Consider the following 24,209-nt stretch of genomic DNA (forward strand, 5'->3'; position numbering starts at 1 on the left):
AAACACTGTCTCCCCTCCTTGGCCCCTATTCTGCTATTCTACTTTCCATCTCTGTGAATTTGACTACTCTCAGTACCTCATGTAACTGGAATGACACAGTGTTTGTCCTTTTGTGAGTGGCTTATTTCACTCTGCATAATGTGTCAGGGTTCACCCATGTTATGGCATGTGTTGGAACTGTCTTCCTTTTTAAATGTGAATAATATATTCCACATTTTGTTTATCCATTCATCCATTGATAGATTGCTTCCACCTTTTGCCTGTGTACTGTGAGTAGTGTTGCTGTGAACATAGGTATACAAATGTCTGTTTGAGTCCTTGCTTTCAATTTGGGTATATACCCAGAAGTGGGATTACTGGATCGTATGGTATGTCTATTTTTCCTTTCTTTGCTGCAGACATGGGGCACTGCCCTATCTATGCCGTAGGACACTATTCAGATGCAGTGGGATGTCTAGTTGGTATTCCCCAGGGCATTCAGTGCAGCACCCCTCACCTCCCCCAGCAGACCTGGCACATAGAAGCAAAGATTTTCTAAATGAAGGATGCTTAGCAAGAGAGATCATTTGTAAACAAATAACTACAGTAAGTTCAGATACTTTGTAATGGTGCACAAAATATGATGGTAGGTAAAGGGAATAAAAACTTCTAGGGGACAAAGGAAGCACAGGCAATATTTTTTCAATGTTTTCTCTGAAATAACAAATTGCAGATGCTTATGAAATCACTCCAAAAATTGTTCCTATTACTTAACAAATAAGTGCTCATTCTTAAAATTCTAAGCATTACCGAACTGTGTAAGGCAGAAAGTGAAAGCCTGCCCAAACTGTTAACAGTGTGTAGGCCGGGCGCGGTGGCTCATGCCTGTAATCCCAGCACTTTGGGAGGCCGAGGCGGGTGGATCATGAGGTCAGGAGATCGAGACCATCCTGGCTAACACGGTGAACCCCGTCGCTACTAAAAATACAAAAAATTAGCCAGGTGTCTTGGTGGGCATCTGCAGTCCCAGCTACTCGGGAGGCTGAGGCAGGAGAATGGCGTGAACCCGGGAGGTGGAGCTTGCAGTGAGCCGAGATTGTGCCACTGCACTCCAGCCTGGGCAACAGAGTGAGACTCTGTTTCAAAAAAAAAAAAAAAAAAAAAAACAATATGGCATAGACTCTTCTAAGAGGCTTTTAAAATAAGTTTTAAATGTGTCTTTATCCAGGCATGGTGGCTCACACTTGTAATCCCAACACTTTGGGAGGCCAAGGCAGGAGGATCGATTGAGCCCAGGAGTTTGAGATCAGCCTGGGCAACATGACAAGACCCCGTCTCTACAAAAAAAATACAAAAATTAGCCGAGCATAGTGGGGTGTGCCTGTAGTCCCAGCTACTCAGGAGGCTGAGGTGGGAGGATCATCTGAGCCCAGGAGTTTGAGGCTGCAGTGAGCCATGATCGTGCCACTGCATTCCAGCCTGGGTGACAGAGTGAGACCCTGTCTCAAAAATATAGTGTCTTTGTGAAAGTGGGAAAATTACTGATATAATATGTTCTACGCATCTTGAGAGGTGAGGGAACAGCTTTTGTTTGTACAAGTGGAATTCTGTTAAGAAAAGCTGCCCTTCATAGAAATGAAACTGAATCCCTTTGTTTATTAAGATATTTTATGGCCGGGCGTGACGGCTTATGCCTATAATCCCAGCACTCTGGGAGGCCGAGGCGGGTGGATCACCTGAGGTCAGGAGTTTGAGACCAGCCTGGCAAACATGGTGAAACCCCGTCTCTACTAAAAATACCAAAATTAGCCAGGCATGGTGGCGGGCTCCTGTAATCCCAGCTGCTCGGGAGGCTGGGGCAGGAGAATCACTTGAACGTGGGAGGCAGAGGTTGCAGTGAGCCGAGATCGTGCCACTGCACTCCAACCTAGGCAACAGAGTAAGACTCCGTCTCAAAAAAAAAAAAAAAAAAGGATATTTTATAAGTTGCTATTTATGATTCTTTTCACAGTGACTCAAAATTAGAATTACTAAGAAAATAAAATCGATTTCTTTTTTTTTTTTTTTTTTTTGAGCCGGAGGTCTTGCTCTGTCACCAGGCTGGAGTGCAGTGGCCTGATCTCGGCTCACTGCAAGCTCCGCCTCCAGGGTTCACGCCCATCTCCTGCCTCAACTTCCTGAGTAGCTGGGACTACAGGCACCCACCACCACGCCCGGCTAATTTTTTGTATTTTTAGTAGAGACGGGGTTTCACTGTGTTAGCCAGGATGGTCTCGATCTCCTGACCTCGTGATCCTCCTGCCTCGCCTCCCAAAGTGCTGGGATTACATGTGTGAGCCACCGCACCCAGCCCTAGTGAAATCTATTTCTTGTTTTCTAATAAAGTGTAAGACCACACAGATTGGTGATCAGTGTTTATGCATTTAACAAGATTCGTTGGGGAGTTCGGCCTTTGCTTCAACGAAAAGACTCAATTTTTAAAACCTATGGTGGCAGGCTGGAGGTGTGGAAGGAAGGGTACAAATGTTATTATATTAAAACACATGTTAAATCTGATTTAATATGAATCCATTTTTATTTTATATTTATTTTGTTAGAGACAGGGTCTCATTCTGTTCCTCAGGCTGGAGTTCAGTGGCACAATCATAGCTCACTGCAGCCTCAGACTCCTGGGCTTAAAGGACCCTCCTGCCTCAGCCTCCCGAGGAGCTGGAACTACAGGCACGTACCACCATGCCCAGCTAATTTTTGTATTTTTAATTTGTGTAAAGATGGGGTCTTGCTACTTGGCACAAGCTGGTCTGCAACTCCTGGGCTCAAGCAATCCTCCTTCCTCAGCCTCCCAAAGTGCTGAGATTACAGGCATGAGCCACCACACCCAGCAAATTCATCTTTAAATAAGCAGTTGACTCCCTTTAACATAACTGAGTGTTTTCTGTAATTTTATAGTATCTAGACTATTGAAAAGCACCTTCTTAGAAACTGGCCCATAGGAGACTTGATGTTTGATTTATGGCTTCGGCCAGCATTGTGGGAAGGATCTTTTTTGTTGTTGTTTTTTGAGACAAGGTCTCACTGTGTAACCTAGGCTGGAATGTAGTGGCCCAGTGCAGCCTTGACTTCCCAAGCTCAAGCAATCTTCCCACCTCAGCCTCCCAAGTAGCTGGGACTACAGGTGCACGCTACCACGCTAATTTTTGTATTTTTTGGTAGAGACAGGGTCTCCTTATGTTGCCCATGCTGGTGTTGAACTCCTGGCCTCAAACCATTCTCCTTCCTCGGCCATGGGAAGGATCTCTTGATGGACAAAACCTTAAAACTTTCTGTTAGTTGTCTGACAGATGAGGCTAGCTCTCATTTATGTAAATCAGGGTGGCTGCATAAATAAAATTCACAGATAAATCCCCAAACTTATTTACCTTACATGTTCTTGTCTAGGGCTGCCAGCAAAAAGTCAAATGTATTAATGCTTAATGACATTTATAGAACAAAGTGAGGTCCAAAAATAAAGTGCTAAACTCTCTGCTTGCCTCCGTGCACTCAGGCTTTGAAGAAGGGGCTAGGCAGGGCAAGGTGGTATAATTACATAATAAAATGGCTGGAAGTCTCTGAAGGGGAAAGGAGAGGGAAGGAGTTTAATTGATCTGCAAACTAATTAACTAGGCCCTGCCCAAGCACCTTCTAGCAGGCAAAATCGAGAAACAATAGCAGCCCGATAGGACTGAGCACACTGAGACCAATATAAATACATGTTCTTCAGGTTTAAAGTAATCAATCTTTTGCTCTAAAATACCCCATCCTTTTTTGATCCTTAGCAAGAGATAGCAGTGGATGAGTACCTGCTTTGTTAGAGTTATTTTTCTCCTCCGTGTCACAGACAGTATAACAAACTGCGAAACCTGCTGAAGGATGCGCGTCATGATTGCATTCTCTTTGCTAATGAATTCCAGCAATGCTGCTATCTGCCACGGGAAAGAGGAGAGTCCATGGAGAAGTGGCAGACCAGGTATGGCCCTGACTTGCTGCTGTTTTCACACTGTCGTCTTCTTTCATTTCCTCATCATTGGCTGTTTGGGAGTTGATCTAAATAGTCTGCTAGAACAAACCAACAATTATTCTGGAACCATGATTAACACCGAAATGCTTACCATGTCAATATTTTAGATATATCATTTGAATATATAACTGATACATTTTTTAAAAATTGCAGTTAGGAAGATATAGGTACCCAGAATATGTTTGCCCCAGACCCTAGCAGCTGTCAGGATCATTCCAGTGAACTAGAAGTCATAACTTTAATGCGTGTATGTATGGAGAAGGCAGAAGAGCTCCTTTTTTGTTTTTTTATTTTTTTTAATTTTTTTTTGAGACAGGGTTTTTTGCTCTGTCACCCAGGCTGGAGTGCAGTGGTATGATCACAACTCACTGCAGCCTCGACCTCCTGAGCTCGAGTTATCCTCCCACCTCAGCCTCCCAAGTAGCTGGGAACATAGGCCAAGTAGCTGCCACCACACTTAGCTAATTTTTGTATATTTTGTAGAAACGGGGTCCCATTATGTTGCCCAGGCTGGTCTTCAGTTCCTGAGTTCAAGCAATCCACTTGTCTTGGCCTCCCAAAGTGCTGGGATTATAGATGTCAGCCACTGTGCCCGGCCAGGCTCCTACTCCCAGTCTTATTAAACTGAAACTGGTCATTTAATTCTGAAAAAGCTGCTTCAGGAAACACAGTGTCCTGATTTAAGTCTGCTGAAAGCAGAGCCTAAAGTGAGTCCTTGAGTGTGGAGTGTTTATGTGGAAAGCAATTCCCAGAAGCAGGAGTGAAGAAGCGGGGAGAGTGAGATGGAGATGGAGATGGAGGGAAGGTGGTGAAGGATGTGCTGCTGCTGTAGGAAACGAAGACTCCATCAGTGCTGCTGAGGAGCCACACGGAATGTGCCTCAGAAGTTACCTTGAAAGCTGGGCATGGTGGCTCATGCTTATAATCCCAACACTTTGGGAGGCTGAGGCAAGAGGATCAGGAGTTCGAGACCGGCCTGGATAACATAATGAGACCCCATCTGTACAAAAAGTTAAAAATTAGCCAGGGATGGTGATGTGCACCTGTAGTCCCAGCTACTCAGGAGGCTGAGGCAGGAGGATCACTTGAGCCTGGGAATTGAGGTTGCAGTGAGCCATTGTTCACCACTGCATTCCAGCCTGGGCGACAGAGTAAGACCCTGTCTCAATCAGTCAGTCAATCCAGTCCTGCACACAGTTCTCCAGACCTGTTTCCCAGTTCTCTGTTTCCCAGTTCCGGTTCTTTTTTGGAAGATTTCCAGGCATTCCATATGGTTCCATATCAGACCCTATTGGATTATGATCTTCAGCTACTTGCACCTTAGTTTTTCTCTTAGCCAAAGACTTGCTTCTTCATCTTTTAAGCCTCACATAATATAGCTTGTCATCTTGTGTGCTGCCCCAGTTAAATGGTGTAAAAGATGGCAGAGCCTCATGGTTTCTAGGCCATATCAAGAAATGAAAGTGGTTGCAGTGGTGGTTGGATGTCTTAGGGAAGAGAAGTCAGGTTCTTTCTGGTTCATATTTGTATCCCCCAGAGCACCCAGCCCAGGGCTTCTTTATAATGGATACTCCAGAAGTATTTGTTGAACGAATGAATGGTTATCTATATAGTCCAAAGGATAGCAAAAGCCAGATGTGAAATTCTGAACAAGAGCTTGTGTTTGTCTGCCTGGGGAGAGCTCATGTGCCCTTTGCTTTTCCAGGAGCATATACAACGCAGCTGTTTGGTACTATCATCACTGCCAGGACAGGATGCCAATTGTTATGGTGACAGAAGATGAAGAGGCAATTCAGCAGTATGGAAGTGAAACAGAAGGAGTATTCGTGATTACTTTCAAGGTATTTCCAGATATTGTATATGTATGAGTGCTCATTTTCTAAGTAGTACCCATAAGGCTCTAGATCCCTTTGGTAACACAGAAAAGAGAAAAGAGGAATAGACATTAAGTTCCATTTTGGCCAGGCGTGGTGGCTCATGCCTGTAATCCCAGCACTTGGGAGGCTGAGATGGGAAGATCACTTGAGCTTAGGAGTTCAAGATCAGCTGGGCAATCTAGTGAGACCTTGTCTCTACAGAAAAAAAAAAAAAATATATATATCTCCAAGCATGGTGGCACGCACCTGTAGTCCCAGCTACTCAAGAGGCTGAGATGGAAGAATCACTGGAGCCTGGGAGATGGAAGCTGCAGTGAGCCGTGAACACACCACTGTACTAATGCCTGAGTGACAGAGTAAGACCCTGTCTCAACAAATGAAGTTCTACTTCTTCATTATGCCCCAACTATTTAATGTTGACTTTCACAAATTCAGACCAACTTTGACTATAAGGCCCACAGCATCTAATACCAGCCCAGTAAACTCCTACTGACAGTAAACTAACATTTATAACTATAACAGTAATAGTAATGGTGATGATGATGATAATAGGTTGAATAAAATTGCCAATATTCTTATTGTTGACCTATAAAATGGCAGTTTGACATGGTTCTACCTAATGGTAATAACCAACACATCTATGCCAGCCACTTTTCTGTGTGTATTATTTCATTTAATTCTTGCAACAACCCTATGAGGTAGGTATTATAATTTAATCTTATTGGTAAGGAAATGGAAACACAGAAAGGCTAAGTAACTTGTTAAAAGTCACACAGTAGAAAATGGTAGGGCTATGGTTAAAATCCAGGCAATCGGACCCCAAAGCTCTTAGCCACCATGCTATACTGCCTTCCAAGTTATTTTTCTGAAAATGCACACGAAACAAACTGTCTTAAAGGCCAGTCTTTTTTTCCAACTGTTCTTCACTCTTCCCCACTTGTGAATGTTCATAGGGGTTAATAGGGATAAATGAAAGGGTTGAGATGTGATATTATTTATGTGAATGCTGTCAGATCTGCTTAGTACAGATCTCAGACAGGAGTGGCATTATCAGTGACTGTTTCTTTGGGCTGTCTCAGCAACGCAGTTCTTCCTATCTCTTAGGTACCTTTTGTGAGAGTAGGATGACTGTTAATCTCTCAACAGATCGCTGGTCGCTTCTGTCTGCCCAGCTGGTCAATTAGGTTTCACTTGTTGATATCACTTTTTGGTGCAGAAACTAGAATAAGGCCCTGTATTACCCCTGTCAGTTTATAGAAAGTCTAGTTGGGTTTTGAATTGCAGATTCTGTAAGGGTTCCCAGGTGCATATATTGCTAAAGATTTGCCAATAGAATTTTCTTGGCCCTGCTATAAGAAAGTGCTCTGGCATGCCAGAGAATTCCAGGGGCGCTGGATATTAATGGCAGTGTCACTTGTTTTTTCTGTTGCAATACATCATGTCTTGTTCCTGCAGAGGACAGTTGACTAAAATTACATTTTTCTACTTTTTTGAAAATTACTTTTCTTTGTAGTCCAGTGGTATAGTACAGTTTTATTTTCTATAGTGTTTCTCAAGAAAACTGTGTGACCAAGGGCTCCATAGAGGTGAATGATAGTAGAAAAAAGAGATATTGTGAAGTTCAGATGAAAGGGAAGCCTAGAATTCTCTGTGGGGACTTGAAGTTAGATGGAGAAGAGCCAAGATGATAAATCCCTCTTGAAGACGTAGTTCATAATGACAAAGTGTAGTGTTGATAAGTGATAAGTGACCATAGAATTGGGGCACTGACATTAGCACAGACAGAATTTCTGGAAGGAGTAGGGAAAGAAAGGAAGCAGTTTGAACAGGACTCTGAAATTAGTGGGAGAAATGCTGGAGTTGACAGAAAGTATAACCTGTTTTCTTTTCAATTTGAGAAGAGAGAATGTGCTAGACTCTACCCCTCAGACTTAAAGTTGAGTTAAAATACATAAAAAAGACAAGAATGGCCTGGCACAGTGGCCCACGCCTGTAATCCAGCACTTTGGAAGGCTGAAGCAGGAGGATCACTTGAGCCCAGGAGGTCAAGGCTACAGTGAGCCAAGATCATGCCACTTGTACTCCAGCATGGGCAACAGAGCAAGACCAGTGAGCCAAGATCACGCCACTTGTACTCCAGCATGGGCAACAGAGCAAGACCCTGTCCCTTAAAAAAAAAAAAAAAAAAAAAAAGACAAGAATGTACACATACTGCTGGGCACAGTGTAATCCCAGCACTGTGGGTGGCCAGGGCAGGAGGATCACTGAGCCCAGGAGTTTGAGACCAGCCTGGGCAACATAGTGAGACCTCATCTCTACAAAAAATAAAAAAATTAGCCATGTGTGGTGGCATGCGCCTCTAGTCCCAGCCACTTGGGGGGCTGAGGTGGGAGGATTGCTTAAGGCAGGGGGAGGTCAAGGCTGCAGTGAGCCAAGATTATGCCACTGCATCCAGCTTGGGCTATAGAATGAGGTCTTGTCTCAAAAAAAAGTACATATAGGCCATTGTCTGCAGCAATTAGATACACATAAAGACAGGCTGCCTGGACGTGCGCAGGTGTGTATGTGGTGTGTGTGGAGAGAAAGAGACTTGAAAGCACAAAGTAGCCTAGGAGGTGGAAGTGTTCCACGGTGGAGTGGCTTCCTGGGGCTCATTTGGCAGGCTCAGGGGTTAATGTGGTAGTAGAGAATGAATGGTGGAGTGAGGCTCAGGAAGTCCTGCTCACTGAGCACCCCCTCAAGATGGCAGGCCAGCAATTCCTAGTCAGGAGTTTCTGTCATAGTACCATGGTGAAGAATCAGTACCTTCTGACCGTGTTTCTCTGTGCCTTTATTAAATACAGAATTACCTGGACAATTTCTGGCCTGATTTAAAAGCTGCCCACGAGCTTTGTGATTCTATCCTTCAGTCTCGACGGGAGAGAGAGAATGAGAGTCAGGAGAGCCATGGGAAGGAGTACCCAGAACATCTTCCCCTGGAAGTGTTAGAAGCTGGGATTAAATCTGGACGCTATATCCAGGTGAGGGTGGTAATTTAGAATGTGTCAGGGCTGGGCACAGTGGCTCATGCCTGTAATCCCAGCACTTTGGCTAAGGCTGATAGATTGCTTTAGCCCAGGAGCTGGAGACCAGACTGGGCAACATAGTGAAACCCTGTCTCTAGAAAAAATTTAAAAATTAGCCAGGCGTGGTAGTGTGCACCTGTACTCCCAGATTACTTGGGAGGTTGAGGCAGGAGGATCACTTCAGCCTGGATGGTTGAGGCTGCAGTGAGCCATGATTGCACCACTGCACTCCAGCCTGGGTGACAGTGAGAACCTGTCTCAATTAAAAAAAAAAAAAAAAAAAGAATCTGTCAGGACCAGCCAGTATGTTTTCTCCTCTTTTTACTGCATCCTGTCACAGGCCTCTGATTTCACAGGCTGCAAACAAGATGGGCATGAGTAAGTCAGGGTTGTCAGTGTTTCAGGTGGCTTGGGAGTCATTCTTTCCAGACACTGATTGCCCAGCTTGAAGCTACTCTGCGATGATGTCCTTAATTCTGTTACATATTGAACATCATACAAGCAGACTGTGGAAGTCGCCTGGTAAATGCCTCCTGTCACTAGAAAAAAACATACCTCTTTGAATCAAGGTCTGGAGGTTTGGTGATGTTGTAAAATTGGTGAAATTTAGCTTCTTTCCTCCTTTGCCATTTTTTTCTCTGCCCCTTTCAAGGGCCTCTTTGTGATCCTCCCAGGACCCTAGAACTCAGATGCTGTCAGGGTCTTGGGAAGGAATCAGATACAATTTTTATTCAGATTTCAACAGTTTTATATGCACTCATTTATGTGTGTATGTGTGTGTAGCTCTATGCAGTTTTATCACATGCATAGATTTGTGTGTCCACCACCACAATCAAGATACAGAATTGTTCTATCGTGGATTTTGCATTTCTAATGAGCAACTCAGTAGATTGTCAACCACAATCTAAGAGCATCACTCCAAAGCCACTCCCTAAAAGTGTGGGGATTTTAAATGAGTATGTCTAGAGAGGCTAATGTTTCCAACTTAGTAGTAAAGTTTATGGCATTCCTGGGAGGACTTTTTTTAATTTTAATTTAATTTAATTTATTTTTTTATTTTTATTTTTTTGAGACCCAGTCTCGTTCTATCACCAGGATGGAGTGCAGTGGTGCAATCTCGGCTCACTGCAACCTCTGCCTCCCAGGTTCAAGTGATTCTTCTGCCTCAGCCTCCTGAGTAGCTGGGATTACAGGCACACGCCACCATGCCCAGCTAATTTTTGTATTTTTAGTAGAGACGGGGTTTCACCATGTTGGCCAGAATGGTCTCGATCTCTTGACCTCGTGATCCACCCACCTCAGCCTCCCAAAATGCTGGGATTACAGGCGTGAGCCACCGTGCCTAGCCCCTGGGAGGATATTTTGAGATAGAAGATTTTTAAAAGACTACTCATCAGTTACATAAGATAGAGCCTGGTACTTTCAGCACTTTGTATAGCTAAGAGTAGTTCAAAATGATGGTATTTTTCTCCAAAGAAAATAAACCTTAGTGATTAATATTATTCCTACCCACGCATGGTTTCTCATGCCTGTAATCCCAGCACTTTGGGAGGCCGAGGTGGATCACAAGGTCATGAGTTCAAGACCAGCCTGACCAACATGGAGAAACCCTGTCTCTACTAAAAATGCAAAAAATTAGCTGAGCGTGGTGGTGGACACCTGTAATCCCAGCTACTTGGGAGGCTGAGGCAGGAGAATTGCTTCAACCTGGGAGGCAGAGGTTGCAGTGAGCTGAGATTGTGACACCGCACTCCTGCCTGGGTGACAGAGCAGAACTCCATCTCGACAAAAAGAGAAAAAAAAGTGTATATGTGTGTGTGTGTGTATATATATATGTGTGTGTGTATATATATATGTGTGTGTGTGTACATCTCGAAAAAAAGAAAAAAGTGTATATGTGTGTGCGTATATATATGTGTGTATATATATATATATGTGTGTGTATATATATATATATAGTTCCTAAAGGGATCACAAACCTTAAAAGAATATTATGGGGATGTTTTCACATAATTTTAAAAACTGGACCTTTTGGAGATAAACCAGGCGGAAAAGAACATTTTTCATATTGATTTTTTAAATTATGATTTTAGGGAATTCTGAATGTCAACAAACACAGAGCCCAAATAGAAGCTTTTGTTCGACTTCAAGGAGCCAGCAGTAAAGATTCAGGTTCAGTATAAACCTTACATAAATTTCCATACTCCTTTTTTATTCTGACGTTATACAATGAAGAAAGCAAAGTTGAAATTGTCATGTCATATGTGCCCTGTTATGTATGCCTACATACATTGGGTATGTGAGATTGTGGCGGGGGGTGGTTCCCCTAGCTTTTTGTCTATAATTTCTGATTTTATTGCAATAAATTTAAACTACAACACAGAGAAGCAAAGTAACTTGCCCAAGGTCACACACCTGGTAAGTGGTGGAGTTGAATTTGTAGCCAAGGCAGTTTGGCTGTGATTTTAACATATTAGTCTGTGCTGCCTCAATGTGCTATATTGCTTTATTGGAGTAAATTTTTTTTAAGTAATAAAAATGAAAAAATGTGTAAATAAGTTGTATCATAATCAGGTGTAGTTCTTAGTTCTGTAATGACAGGGTGAAAAAGAAACCCTGCTAGTCAAAGGAGCATGGCTGGGTGGAGAGAGAATGAGAAACTGGCTTTCTTCGGGCCCTTGCTCGTCAGCATTCCCCCTGTCGGTTCTGCCCTATCTATAGTTCCTCAGCCCACTGACCAATCCCTTGGCTGTGTAGGATCCTAAAGGTATTTGACAGAAGTCCAGCATAGGCTCACATAGTTGCATGCAGGGAACTAATACCTTTTTAAAAGGTGGTGAAGGGGATGGGGATATTTTTTTGAAAGATGATTGAGGGTGGCACTTATGAAATCTCAATATACAGTATGACATGGTGCCAGCAATTCTTCATTCCTAACCTGCAGAACAAAAGTTTGACTCTACCTTTGAAAAGAAAAAGCTTTACTTGCAGGAGTACTGATTAGACTTCGAGTATATCATGCGCGGAATGCCTCACTGGTGTGCCATTCCCTTGGCTTTATGGGTTTTTTCTGTGCTGCCCCAAACACAGATTTAGTCAGTGACATCCTAATCCACGGGATGAAGGCTCGAAACCGCTCAATTCATGGAGATGTGGTAGTTGTGGAGCTGCTTCCTAAAAATGAATGGAAAGGAAGAACCGTAGCCCTGTGTGAGAATGACTGTGACGACAAGGCTTCGGGCGAGTCCCCAAGTGAGCCCATGCCTACAGGTGAGCCAGCTGCAGAGCCACTCCGATGTCCATTTTTCTTGTGGAATTATATTTGTCTCCTCTTTAGCAATCCAGAAATACTGCCCTTATTTTATTTATTTATTTTATTTAAATTGACAAAAACTGTATTTATTGTGTATAATATGATGATTTTTGTGTATTTACTGTGTATAATATAATATGATGTTTTGATATAATGCATTGGAGAATGCTAGACTGAGCTAATTAACCTATGCATTAACCTCACTATGTGATGAAAACACTTAAGATCTACTCTCTTAGCAATTTTCAAGAATACAGTACATTGTTATTAACTATAGTCACAGGTTGTACAATAATAGTTCCTAACACGAGATATAGTCTCTTCCTCTCCATTATCAATTTTCCCACTCTGCAGGTTTATTTTACTCTTATCAGCACCCAAATATGCTGTAATGGCTTCCATCTTAAAATCAAACCAAAAATCCTCCCTGAGTCCCATGTCCCTTTCAGCTGCTGCCCCTTATCATTAAAGTCAGAGTATAGTTAACTCCACGTTCTCTCTTCCTCTCTGCTGGTCTCTCATGCCTGCCATTCTGACACCTCCCAAGCCCTACTCCTCTAAAATTGTTCTTGCCAAGGTCACCAGTGACCCCATTGCCTGAGCACTGGTCAGCCTCCATCGTCTGGAAGCTGTCAGCAGCATTTGGCAGGGGCCCTCTGCCTTCCCTGGGTCTCCTCCCAGTTCTCCCACCCTGCTGGCTGCTCTTCTCAGTTCTCCTCCTGGCTCTCCATCTCATTGTCCTCTTGTATGTGCAAGGGCCCCATGCTGGATCTTCTGTTCTCTGCGCTCTCTCCCTCAGGGATCTCCTGCAGTCCTTTAATTTTAATTTTAATTTTAATCTCTGGCCCTTCCTTGGCTTCCAGTTTTGTTTACTCAGTTGTCTATTTGGCATCTTCCCCTGGACGTCTAATGGGCATCTCAGACTTAACGTGTCCCACACAGACTCCTGATTTCACCCCTAGACCTGCTCTTCCCCACGTGTTCCCCAGTCTCAGTAAAGGGCAAATTCATTCTTGGTCAACCCAAGACACCTTGGGGTTATCCTTGACTTTTTTTTTTTTTACTCATCAGTAAATGCTGGCAACTCCAACTCTAATGCATGGCCTGAATTCAGCCACCTGCCATACTTCCCCCACAGCTCTCCTGCTTCAGTCCACTGGCACCTCAGGATTGTCAAAGCAGCCTCCTCACTGCTCTTCCTGCTCCCACCCTTGCCCCTCCCCATGTAGTCTTTTCTCCACTCAAAGACACAATGATCCTTCAGAAAGTGAGTTGAGCTGGGTGCTGTGGCTCATGCCTGTAATCCCAGCACTTTGGGAAGCTGAGGTGGGTGGGTCACTTGAGGTCAGGAGTTCGAGACCAGCCTGGCCAACATGGTGAAACCCTGTCTCTACTAAAAATACAAAACTTAGCCGGGCGAGGTGGTGCACACCTGTAGTCCCAGCTACTGGGAAGCTGAGGCACGAGAATCGCTTGAACCTAGGAGGCGGAGGTTGCAGTGAGCCAAGATCATGCTACTACACTCCAGCCTGGGCAAGAGAGCAAGACATTGTCTCAAAAAAAGAAAAAAGAAAAAGAAAGCAAGAGTTGGCTCCTGTCATTTCTCTGCTCAAAACTCCTCAATGGCTGGTTCCTGTTTCACTCAGAATAAAATCCAAAGTCCTTACCATGGCCTGCATGGTCCCACCAGCTGAGGCCACCTTCTGCCATTTTCCTCTTCATGCTTTGCTCCAGCCGCAGTGACAACTTGTTCTTTCCACCACCTGGATGAAGCTTTCCCCAAATATCCTCACATCTGTTTTCCTCACTTCCCTCAAGTCACTGTTCAAATGTCACTTTATTTAAAATAGCTGCCACTTCTGACCCTCTGTCACTCTTGATCACCTTACCCTACCTTGTGTCTTTCTTAGCAACTGTCACAACTTCACATTTTTTTTTTTTGGTCTATTTTCCACCCCCACAGACACCCAAACTGATTTTATATAAACCCCTTGAAATCAAGGACTTTGCCTGTTATGGTGCTGCTATATTCCCTGTACCTAGAACAAAGCCTCATACCTGGTTGGAGCTCAGTAAATATTTGTGGGAAAAAAAAAAAAAAAAAGAAAAAAGAGAACATTTTTAATTATTAAAGTTTGGTCTCGGCTTCAGTCAGTGATGATTGAAAGTGTTGTGTATCAGTCTTATGATCTGTACACTTTTCTGTGTATAATGGACCAAATAAGGTTAGCTGGTGAGAGAAGGCAAGAAAGACTGAAAACGCGCAGTTGAGGGCACGGTTTAAAACAAGAGTGAAAATCATTGACTTTTCCCAATATACCAAAATGAGATTGATAAGATAATGGCAAAAGAGAGAAAATGGGACAAGTGGATTCTAAATGTTATCTCAGGAAGAGAGAGCATACTGACAATGTTATTTTAAAAGTTACCCATCTTTGCTGGGTATGATGGCACGTGCCTATAGACCCAGCTACCCAGGAGGATGGATTGAGCCCAGGAGTTTGAGACTGTAACATATTATGATAGTATCTGTGAATAGCCAGTGCACTCTAGCCTGGGCAGCATAGTGAGATCCTGTTTCTTAAAAAAAAAAAAAAAAGAAACGAACAAAAACAAAAAGTGTTTTTAAATTATCCATCTTTAAAATAAAATACCAAGAAGGCAAATCTTCAAACATACCTTTTCTTGTTGTTGTTATGTGTGTGTTTTGGTTTTTGTTTATGTGTTTGTTATTGAGACGGCATCTCACTCTGTTGCCCAGGCTGGAGTGTAGTGGTGCATCTCGGCTCACTGCAAGTTCCGCCTCCCAGGTTCAGGCGATTCTCCTGCCTTAGCCTCCTAAACAGCTGTGATCACAGGCGCACGCCACCATGCCCAGCTAATTTTTGTATTTTTAGTAGAGGTGGGGTTTCACCATGTTAGCCAGGCTGGTCTTGAACTCCTGGCCTCAAGTGATCCTCCTGCCCCAGCCTCCCAAAGTGCTGGGATTACAGGCATGAGCCACCATGCCTGGCCGTTATTGTTGTTAATAAAAGCTTCCTTTCAAAAACATTCTTGAGTTGGGTGGATGTGCTTGAAAAAAAATAGGACACTGTATTTCTTGTTCTTTTCCTTACTGCTTGAGGTGGTCAGAGTCCAGATAGATGGCACCTAACCAGTTAATGCCTTGTTTTGTTTTGTTTTGCCAAAGGTCGAGTGGTGGGCATACTTCAGAAGAACTGGCGGGATTATGTGGTGACATTTCCGTCCAAAGAAGAGGTCCAATCTCAGGGCAAAAATGCTCAGAAAATCCTGGTTACACCTTGGGATTACAGAATTCCCAAAATTCGAATTAGCACTCAGCAAGCAGAAACCCTCCAGGTAGTTGGCATTCTACCTCTACTATGGGATCTCTACGCTTTCTCCTTCTGTCTTTACCAGCTTTTTAGCAGTACCAGAAAGCATTGTTAATTCCTTTGCATATAAAGAAATAAATTATTGATGGCATCTGGCATTCCAAGATACTGGGATGTGTTTTTTGGGGTTTTTTTGTTGTTGTTCTTTTGTTTTTCCAAGACAGAGTCTCACTCTGTCACCCAGGCTGGAGTGTAGTGGCGTGATCTCAGCTCATTGCAACCTCCACCTCCCGGGTTCAAGCAGTTCCCCTGCCTCAGCCTCCCGAGTAGCTGGGATTACAGGCTCCCGCCACCACGCCCGGCTAATTTTTGTATTTTTAGTAGAGATGGGGTTTCACTGTGTTGGCCAGGCTGGTCTCAAACTCCTGACCTCATGATCCACCACCTCCACCTCCCAAAGTGTTGGAATTACAGGTGTGAGCTACCATGCCCAGCCGTGTTTTTATGTTTTTTAATTCTTTTTTTGTAGAGATGGGGTCTCACTTTGTTGCACACGCTGGTCTTGAACTCCTGACCTCAAGCAGTCCTCCTGCCTTGGCTCCCCAAAGTGCTGGAATCACAGGCATGAGCCACTGTGCCCAGCCCCAAGATTCTGTTTTTTAAAAATTCTAAATATATGAAAACCATCCATTAAGTAGTCTGTGGTTAATAAATTCAGGCCAGAGAGAAATTGTCCTAGAAAGAGCTGTGTAGGACAACCAGAGAGAACATACATTATCCAGCTGTCCAACATAGAAACTTTCTATAGATACACTTTGCCAACACTAACAAGCTTTCCTCCAGCAAGCAATATAGAAATACGATCACTCTGCCCTGTAGGGATGATGTAGTGGTACTTCACAGAATTGATTATCCATAAAGGAATATAGCACTGGAGAGAAGACATAAACAAGAAGGTTAGAAATTAACCTTTACTTGTGTCAAAAAGTATGGGCATTGCCCAATTTAATTCCCCCTGATATTTTACAGTTTGTAAATGAGACACTAAAGCAGGATGTCCCCAGCCAGTAACCTAGCCATTGTGCTTTTACATCTTGAAGCCTTATGCAGGCTCTCCAGGCCAGTTGCACCTAATACATTTTCCATTCCCATGGTTTGCTGGAATTTTGGGGTAGTGGGGATTCAGTTTACACGACACCTTCTTCTCCACCAAAGACCATCTTAAGAGGTCTTCAAAGAGACCAGGCGCAGTGGCTCATGCCTGTAATCCCAACACTTTGGGAGGCCGAGGCAGGTGGATCACTTGAGGCTAGGAGTTCAAGACCAGCCTGGCCAACATGGTGAAACCCCATTTCTACTAAAAAAAAAAAAAAAAAAAAAATTAGGTGGGCATGGTGGTACACGCTTGTAATCCTAGCTATGTGAGAGGCTGAGGCAGGAGGATCACTTGAACCCGGGAGGCATAGGCTGCAGTGAGCCAAGATAGCACCACTGCATTCCAGCCTGGTTGATAGAGCAAGACTCCATCTCGAAAAAAATAAAATAAAATAAAATAGACTTCAAAGAAATTAGGAACTACCTCCCACACACAAAACATTAAGATTGTTGTTTTAAAACTTAATTTGGAGCATGCATAATTGAGTTTTCCCCTAGTGTTGCAAGCGTTAACTAGAATATATTACAGTTAACTAGAATATATTACGGCTCTCTTCAGCAGACTAAAATTTCCAGCCCTCTTCATTGATGTAGAGAGGTAATGCCTCCCTTCAAAGCATTGGGTCAAGCATTTCATACCATCTGGCAATTTAGTAATAGGAAGAATGAAAAACAAAAAAAAAACCCTACCATACACCACTATTTGCACCTGGCCACTCTCCTTGGAACCCAGTATTGTTTGCCTCTTGTTTGTTTGATGCCTCTAATTGACCCACTTAACTCCTGGTGCTCAGCTGTGTTTTATTTTTTCCTTTTGTGCAGGACTTCAGGGTGGTCGTGCGCATCGATTCCTGGGAGTCAACATCTGTGTATCCAAATGGACATTTTGTGCGTGTTTTAGGAAGAATCGGAGATCTGGAAGGGGAAATTGCAACCATCCTGGTGGAAAACAGTATTTCAGTTATTCCTTTCTCAGAAGCTCAGGTCAGATTTTCCAGAAGGCTTTGATCTAGTGACATTTTCTTTTTGCTTTTGTTGTTGTTTCATCATTAAGAAAGAAAAGTCTTTGTGCTGTGGAACAACCCACTGTGTGAAGGCACAGATAATGGAAAAATCTCAATCCTCTTTATTCTATATTTGGACCAAACTGAAGTCAGCTTCAAGTGTAGAATTAGTTTTCTATAGCCTCATAGCTCTCAAATTTTTATATTTTCCAACTGGGCTTAAAAATGATATGTCAGTGTCTCATAGTCAGTATACATCCATCCCCAGCAACTACAAGGACACCTAGTTACAGACCCAACTGAGCTCCACACTCTCTGTCCAAATCATTCAACCAGAGGCTGCATAAAGCTGCAGGGGGTGGATTCCTGGGATCCATACATCTCCAACCCATGGGTCAAAAATTATGCTCATTATGAAACAGTTTTTGTGACCTTTACAGAAAACAAAAATCTCATAAACATAAAACATCAGCTATTTCCATCACTTTATGATCTTTTAAAACCCTCATAAATCTTGTGTATTATTCTTGAATGACTATATTCATTGTGTGCACACACTAATTTCTGTTCTGCTTCTTTCACTTAAAATTATTTTTATATATTGACATAGCCTACTTATTTTAATGGTTATGGTAAATTACGGTATATTGACGTACCCTAGTTTGCTTAAGCATTTCTTGATTTTTGGGCATTCAGCTGTCTAACTTTTCAGTGTTATAAAAAAATGTAGGCCAGGCGTGGTGGCTCATGCCTGTAATCCCAGCACTTTGGGAGGCCAAGGCAGGTGAATCACCAGGTCAGGAGTTTGAGACCAGCCTGGCCAACATGATGAAACCCCGTCTCTACTAAAAACACACAAAAAAAGTATCTAGGCCTAGTGGTGGGCGCCTATAATCCCAGCTACTCGGGAGGCTGAGGCAGGAGAATTGCTTGAACCAGGGAGGCGGAGGTTGCAGTGAGCCGAGATCGCACCGCTGCACTCCAGCCTGGGTGACAGAGCGAGACTGTCTCAAAAAAAAAAAAAAAAATGTTACTTTGAACATTTTTATAAACACCGCTTTTTAATTTCTTTTTGATCATTCTCTTGGAATGTAATCCTTAAAGTGAGATTACCAAGTCAAAGGGTATAAAAGATTTAAATAGCTTCTAATATGTACAAGCAGATTGTTCTCCAGAAAAATTGGACCCATTTGCATTACCATAAGGAGTGTCTGGGTGTTCTTATTTTCATTAAAGTTTTTCACAGAACGGGAGCTATCATAGTAAACTATTTTAGAATATTTTACATCATTAAATTTTTATATTTAACATTAGTTTCTGGAAATTATTTGTTGACTTGTTTGGCAGCTCTTAGTGAAAATGTTACAATAAAATAAAGTGTGGGCTATACATCATAGGACTAGAATTTTCTCTTCCCTTTTAGCCTACTTAACTGCAAATTGATGGCTTAAACAGATAATAATGGAGAGAAAATGCCCTAGATAGGTCCTGTATAAAATTATCTTTAAGGGGTAAGCTTTTAATATTTGGAACATGTTGATTATTTTTTTCAAGGCTTAAATTTAAAGCTTGACTACATTTAAACAAATGGATCATTTGAAAATGGGCTACATGTTGTACTCTTGTTCCAAGCCCCTGTAACTAAAGAGGCTGGTAGAAGTTGTGGGACATTTTCTGTCCAACTGTAAGGGTCCTCAGGGGTGTAGGACTTTGTCTTTCTTGTTGACTCCTGACTTTCCAGAGCCCAGCACAGTACCTGGGATATCTGAGGCACCTAGTAAACAATTATTGATCAAAGGAAGCCAACATAGGTTGATGAAGAAGGTAATTGAGAATGAATGAATTTCTATGTGGTCATACTGAGAATATTAGTGAGTGGATTTTTACAGAAATTTGTGGTGCATGAATTGCTGAATATTTGGTTTCTCATACAGATGTGTGAGATGCCAGTAAACACACCAGAAAGTCCCTGGAAGGTGAGTCCTGAAGAGGAACAAAAACGTAAAGACTTGAGGAAAAGCCATCTCGTATTCAGCATTGACCCCAAAGGTTGTGAAGATGTGGATGACACACTCTCAGTCAGAACCTTAAATAATGGCAACCTGGAACTTGGGGTCCACATCGCAGATGTAACACACTTTGTGGCACCAAATTCTTACATTGATATTGAAGCTAGAACAAGGTAATGCTATTTGAAATCAGCTCTATGGTTGTGTGTATGTGACTGGATATTTTGTGTCTGTACTAGTTTCAGGTGTTCAAAGATCTCATGTTTGTGCAATTTTGAAGGTCCCTTCCAGAAAAAAAAAGTTGAGGTCCACTCTCCATTTTCCTTTAGAAAAACAGTACCTTGATCAATTTACCTTTGCTTTTTAACATAACCTTTTCACACATTGTTTCCTACTAAATCGAAATGGGTTAAATTTTCATGTAGTAATATACTATTTTTTAAAAATACTGGATCATTACACTCCAGTTTTTCTTATACGACAAAGATTCATGTCACTTGCTCTTTCTTTCTCTTATCAGTGGAAGAATATTCAGCCCAAAGCAGTGTCACTTAGAAAAGTGGGACCATGGGAATAGTTTTATTACCCAGTCTGCTGCACTTTATGAAACAGCAACAGCCTTGGGGAATCTGTAGTGAGATTTTGGCCATTTACCTCCCTGCGGCCCACACAGTCAGCAGTTCTGCTTCTCCCTGCTAAAGGTCGCGTTGCCGCGTGTGTGTCATTCACAGGGCCACCACTTATTATCTAGCAGATCGTCGCTATGACATGCTGCCTTCCGTCCTCAGTGCAGATTTGTGTTCCCTTCTGGGAGGCGTTGATAGGTGAGTTTATGGCTTTTGTCTTCAAAGCTTGTCCTGGCCCTTCTGTGGCTCCTGATGCTGCCTGCTTCTGGCCTCATGTTTCTTCTCTGCTATGCCCCACCCCAGCCCTGTGTCTCCCCTCTGACCTCTCAACCTCACCCCCGACCCCAACCCCACACCACTTATCTTTAGGCAGCTTTATTTCTCTAGCCTTCCCTGCCCTTTCCCTCCTCTCTTCTGTCTGCTAGCAGTGGGGCTCTGCGTCTCCCTCTGTTGCTGGCTTTTTAAAGTCAGCTAAAATCTGAGAACAAATGTATGTAGCTTTGTGCTTATGCATTCCCTGGCGGAAGTTGTTTGGCATGAGGATCATGAACTCGGGGAGTTTTTTGTTTGTTCATTTGTTGAGTTTAAACTTTGTTTCTCTTTGAATAGCTAATAGAATCATATAGGCCCGAACTCATATGTCCCAAGAGGTATTTAATGAAAGGTTCCTCCCTATCACTTTCCCTCACTTACCAGTTCCGTATTAGTTTTTCTAGATATAATACATACATGAATATGCATATGTGATCTTTTTTACACAAATGGTTGCATTTTATATATATATACTGTTTAGCACCTTCCTTTTAAAAAAGAACTTAATGGTATCTTGGAGATCATTCCGTATTAATAACAGTTGCACTATCTATGGAAATTTGGATAGTTTCCAATCTTTTGGTATTACAAACAAAGCTGTACTGAGTTAACTTTGAACATAAGTCATTTCACATTTTCATTTTTATTTTTATTTTTTGAGACAGAGTTTCACATGTTGCCCAGGCTGGTCTTGAACTCCTGTGCTCAAGTGATCCTTCCGCCTTGGCCACCCAAAAAGCTGGGATTACAGATGTAAGCCACCATGCCCAGACCATTTCACATTTTTTAAAATACAGTATATGTGAAAGAGAAATTCCCATATTTGATTATGGGATTTCTGTGTCAAGAGTATGTGCATTTGTGTTTAGATCAATATAATCAAATTGCCCTTCTTAAATGTTACACCAGTTATATTCCTGTCACCAATGTATGAGAGTGCATATTTTCCTATAGCCTTGCCAACACAATATGTTGTATTTTTTTATCTTTGCCAATTTGATAGATGAAAAATGGTATCTTAGATTGGTTTTAATTTGCATTACAAATAAAGCTAACCATTTTTTCGTATGTTTGTCACTTATGTATCCCTTTCTGTTAACTATATTCTTCGCCCATTTTTCTTTTGGATTCAAGATCAATTACTGATTAATTTGTAAAAGCTCTTTACATATTAGGAAAATTAGCCCTATGTTTTTTATGAGTTCCAAATGTATACCTTTTTTTTAAATAAAATGACTTGGTGGCAAAGAGTTTTTTTACTAAATGAAATTTTTGCTAATTTATCTGTCATCAAGATTGATATCACAGTTCAGTGCCATCCTGTAGGATTTGCAAGACTTTGCTCTAATTTACTGAGCTAAAAAGACTTGACTCTATCAGTGTCATGCTTTTCTAATCAAAATAGAGGACATGGCCGGGCACGGTGGCTCACGCCTATAATCCTAGCACTTCGGGAGGCCAAGGCAGGTGGATTGCCAGAGCTCAGGAGTTTGAGGCCAGCCTGGGCAACACAGTGAAACCCCGTCTCTACTAAAATAGAAAAAATTAGCCAGGCATGGTGGTGCACGCCTATAGTCCCAGCTACTCAGGTGGCTGAGGCAGGAGAATCACTTGAACCAGGAAGAGGTAGGTTGCAGTGAGCCGAGATCGCACCACTGCACTCCCACCTAGGCAACAGAGCAAGACTCCATCTCAAGAAAAAAATGGAGGACATAAAGTAAGGTTTGTAATGTCACATATGAACTCATTTCAAATTTGTTCAGAGCTCAACAGTCCCCAGTCTAACTTTGTTGTTTTAATTTAAAATATTTTTTGATTTAGTTGTAAGGTGGTTGGATTGACAAACCAGAAACCTGTAGCTTTGTAATTTCTTTTAAGTTACAGTTAGGTCAAATTCCACTTGCTTCAAAAATAGAAGACTTAGGTGGGGCATGGTGGCTTACACCTGTAATCGCAGCACTTTGGGCAGGAGAATTGCTCAAGTCCAGGAGATTGAGGCAGCAGTGAGCAGTGATCATGCCATTGCACTCCAGCCTGGGTGACAGAGCAAGATCCTGTCTCAAAAAAACAAAAAACAAAAAAAGCCAGATGAATTTGAATAGTGATGTTGTCAATGTTACTGTTTTTGTAGGTATGCTGTAAGCATCATGTGGGAACTGGATAAAGCCTCTTATGAAATTAAGAAAGTGTGGTATGGCAGAACCATTATTCGATCAGCATACAAACTGTTCTATGAAGCAGCCCAAGAACTACTGGATGGAAACTTAAGCGTTGTTGATGATATTCCAGAATTCAAAGACTTGGATGAGAAGAGCAGACAAGCCAAGCTGGAGGAGTTGGTGTGGGCAATTGGAAAGCTGACCGACATAGCTCGCCATGTCAGAGCTAAACGAGACGGATGTGGTGCCCTGGAACTGGAAGGGGTAGAGGTTTGCGTACAGCTAGATGACAAAAAGAACATTCACGACCTCATCCCCAAGCAGCCCCTGGAAGTCCACGAGACAGTGGCTGAATGCATGATCCTGGCCAACCACTGGGTCGCCAAAAAGATCTGGGAGAGCTTCCCTCATCAGGCCTTGCTGCGCCAGCACCCTCCTCCACACCAGGAGTTCTTTTCAGAACTCCGGGAATGTGCTAAAGCCAAAGGCTTCTTCATAGATACACGGTATTCCTCTTTTGAGGGGGCAGAGGAATGGAGTGGCATGCTGTATATTTAGTTATCTTACAGTTGTTCTTAAAATGTGACAGCCAGATCTTTGACCAAAAAGAGAAAACAGATTCTTGGCTCTCCTCATTTTTGAAGACACATTTTTCCCTCTTCATTGTTATGTATAGAGACTTAAAACAAGTTTATTTAGGCATAATTTTGTTCCTTGGTTTTTTGTTTCAATTTTTTTTTAGATAGAGTCTTGCTCTGTCACCCAGGTTGGAGTACAGTGGTATGATCTCGGCTCACTGCAACCACCACCTCCCAGGTTCAAGTGACTCTCCTGCCTCAGGTTCCTGAGTAGCTGGGACTACAGGCACACGCCACCATGCCTGGCTAATTTTTTTGTATTTTTAGTAGAGACAGGGTTTCGCCATGTTGGCTAGGCTGGTCTTGAACTCCTGACCTCAAGTGATCCACCTGCCTCGGCCTCCCAAACTGCTGGGATTATAGGCATGAGCCACCACACTGGACATTTAGGCATAATTTTGACCCACTACAATTTGGGTTTTTTTGTTCGGTTGGTTTTTTTTTTTTCTTTGAGATAGAGTCTCGCTCTGTCATCCAGGCTGGAGTGCAGTGGCACAATCTTGGCTCACTGCAACCTCCGCCTCCCAGGTTCAAGCGATTCTCTTGACTCAGCCTCCTGAGTATATGGGATTACAAGCATGTGCCACCACGCCTGGCTAATTTTTGTATTTTTAGTAGAGACAGGGTTTCACCATGTTGGTCAGGTTGGTCTCAAACTCCTGACCTCATGATTCGCCCGT

General features: G+C 42.6%; 1 protein-coding gene across 14 annotated transcripts in view; it reads left to right on the forward strand.

Moving 5' to 3' along the window:
* The window catches only part of DIS3L (DIS3 like exosome 3'-5' exoribonuclease), a 40,590-nt gene that overhangs the window by 9,659 nt on the left and 6,722 nt on the right, over window positions 1-24,209 (forward strand). For 6 of the 14 annotated variants that reach the window (NM_133375.5, NM_001323936.2, NM_001143688.3 and 3 more), the window contains exons 3-12: window positions 3,857-3,985; window positions 5,742-5,877; window positions 8,757-8,933; window positions 11,072-11,150; window positions 12,069-12,248; window positions 15,482-15,651; window positions 17,604-17,765; window positions 19,720-19,967; window positions 20,526-20,618; window positions 22,864-23,397. In NM_133375.5, coding sequence (NP_588616.1) covers window positions 3,857-3,985; window positions 5,742-5,877; window positions 8,757-8,933; window positions 11,072-11,150; window positions 12,069-12,248; window positions 15,482-15,651; window positions 17,604-17,765; window positions 19,720-19,967; window positions 20,526-20,618; window positions 22,864-23,397 — 1,908 coding nt within the window. Of the gene's footprint in view, window positions 1-2,576; window positions 2,701-3,856; window positions 3,986-5,741; window positions 5,878-8,756; window positions 8,934-11,071; window positions 11,151-12,068; window positions 12,249-15,481; window positions 15,652-17,603; window positions 17,766-19,719; window positions 19,968-20,525; window positions 20,619-22,863; window positions 23,398-24,209 lie in introns of all 14 variants that reach the window. The other 8 variants (NM_001323938.2, NM_001323941.2, NM_001323946.2 and 5 more) reach the window with 4 other exon arrangements.

This window comes from Homo sapiens, chromosome 15, assembly GCF_000001405.40.
Source record: "Homo sapiens chromosome 15, GRCh38.p14 Primary Assembly".
Lineage (NCBI taxonomy): Eukaryota > Metazoa > Chordata > Mammalia > Primates > Hominidae > Homo > Homo sapiens.